General features: G+C 42.8%; 1 annotated feature.

Moving 5' to 3' along the window:
- Positions 530-1049: an enhancer, noted in NCBI's record as "H3K27ac-H3K4me1 hESC enhancer chr10:81795195-81795714 (GRCh37/hg19 assembly coordinates)". NCBI's record gives its function as "activates a minimal SCP1, AML or CMV promoter by ChIP-STARR-seq in naive H9 embryonic stem cells {active_cell/tissue: H9 hESC(naive)}" and the evidence as "EXISTENCE:reporter gene assay evidence [ECO:0000049][PMID:30033119]".

Raw genomic sequence — 2478 nt, forward strand, 5'->3', positions numbered from 1 at the left:
CAAAAAAACGCAGGGTGGCCCACCCATCTCTCAAACTGCTGACATCAGGTGACCCGCCCCCCTCCGGACCCAAAGTGCTGGGATTACAGGCATGAGCCACTGAGCCTGGCCACACCCATTTCTTAAATACCTTTCTACTGAATCCCTTCATTAAATATTTAACACCACTTAAAAGGATTTTGAAGTAATTAGATTAAGGGTAAGATGAATTTTAAGTAGAAGTACAGATTCTACTACGTAATTTTTCGTCTATCATGATACTTTTCCAAATATGACTTTGGTTTTCTGCTCTCTAGTTTCCACATATTTAAGCATTTTCTTCTCTGAGTTCAGGTTCTTTTATTTCTTAATTATTTTGGCTTGGCCATGTTATTTCACAAATGGAGAGTCTCGCCTTACTTTATACGTTTCACATTCTCCGCAGCTTTTCCTGAAAAGTATTTTATCCCATCATCAATGTGGTGGTCTGGCCATATGTCAAGTTAGTTAGTCTAAGCTCTGCAGTTCATCCATCAAACATGAATGCAAGTGTTGCTATAAATGCATTTTGCATGTGTGATTAATATATAAAATCAATTGGCTTTACCCAAAACAGATTATTCACTGTAATGCGGGTGGGACTGGAGAGCAACTTTAGCTCCTGCCTGAGAGTGTCAGCTTACCTTTCCCTACAAATTTCTTTCCTGCCTAGTCAGTCCCCACAATTGTGTAAGTCAATTTCCTTGAAAACTGGTTCTGTTTCTCTGGTCGAATTTTGACTGACACAGATATTGGTCCTGTTAGTGGCTGTATAACAAAGAATGTTATAGATGAGTTTTCTGAATTGATTCTGGGTTTCTAAAATTGATTCTCTAATCAAATAAACTTTAAGGGCACTGGCCAGGCACGGTGGCTCAGGACTGTAATCCCAACACTTTGGGAGGCCAAGGTGAGTGAATCACGAGGTCAGGAGTTCAAGACCAGCCTGACCAACATGGTGAAACTCCCGTCTCTACTAAAAACACAAAAATTAGCCAGGCATGGTGGCAGGCACCTGTAATCCCAGCTACTCAGGAGGCTGAGGCAGGAGAATTGCTTGAGCCCGGAGGCAGAGGTTGCAGTGAGCCAAGATCGTGCCACTGGATGCCAGCCTATGTGACAGCAAGACTCCATCTCCAAAAACAAACAAACAAAAACAAACTTTAAAAGCACTAATGACCAGTTCCAGTAATAGAGAGGGCACTGGGTTCCTGACTAAATGTAGCAATTTATCACCATTGGACACTCCTAATCATACCTACAGAAAGCATCAGAGGCTAACACTGAGTCCCCAGTATGGCACCATCACCCAGGGTGATAAGCTATATCTAGAGGAAAAATAATTACATTAGACCACTACCATTGTAGAAGGAATGAAGTTTGTTCTTACTGGAATAGACACACTGGGTATGCTTTTGCCTTCCCTGCACTCAATCCTTCAGCCAAAAGAATTATCTGTAAACTGACAGAATATCTTATCTGCTGTCATGGTACTCCATACAACATTGCTTCCAACCAAGGAACTCACTTCCAAGCAAGTGAGTTATAGCAATGGGCCCATACTCATGGATTCATTGGTTTTGTCATGTTCCTTAGCATCCTAAAGGAGATGGCTTTTTATTTTTTTTTTTTTGACAGTCTCACTATGTTGCCCAGGCTGGAGTGCAGTGGCATGATCTCGGCTCCCTGCAACCTCCGTCTCCCAGATTCAAGGGATTTTCCTTCCTCAGCCTTCTGAGTAGCTGGAATTACAGGCACGTGTCATCACGCCTGGCTAATTTTCATATTTTTAGTAGAGACGGGGTTTTGCCATGTTTGCCAGGCCGCTCTCGAACTCCTGACCTCAGGTGATGTGCCTGCCTCAGCCTCCCAAAGTGCTGGGATTGCAGCTGTGAGCCACCTCGCCTGGCCCACTTGACTTTCAATAAGTGGTCCTGATTATTGAATTAATCAGTTGGAAAAAAGGCCTTCAAAGCAGAAGTGAGTCTTCCATAAAAAAATTCTGCCTATGAACAATGGCAGCAGTTCTTGTCCAACCTTTCCTATGGACTTTGGACTTTCTCAAGTGATCCTCCACAATCACATAAGCCAGTTCCTTGCAACAAATCTCTAAATATATACTAGTTCTCTTTCTTGGTTGATACTCTGATGAATACAATCATCCCATTGTTTATTTTGGTAAAATGACATAATAGGAAAACTTGTATGAGTAGATTTGTCTCTGGAGATAAGCCATGGGTGATACAAAACCTTTTTGAATCCTAGAAAGATGGCAGATGGGCTGGGCACGGTGGCTCATGACTGAAATTCCAACAGTTTGGGAAGCCGAGGTGGGTGGATCACTTAAGGTCAGGAGTTTGAGACCAGCCTAGCCAACATTACGAAACCCCATCTTGACTAAAGATGCAAAAATTAGCCCAGCATGGTGGCACATGCCTGTAGTTCCAACTACTCAGGAGG

The sequence above is a fragment of the Homo sapiens genome, chromosome 10 (assembly GCF_000001405.40).
Source record: "Homo sapiens chromosome 10, GRCh38.p14 Primary Assembly".
In the NCBI taxonomy this organism is placed as follows: Eukaryota; Metazoa; Chordata; class Mammalia; order Primates; family Hominidae; genus Homo; species Homo sapiens.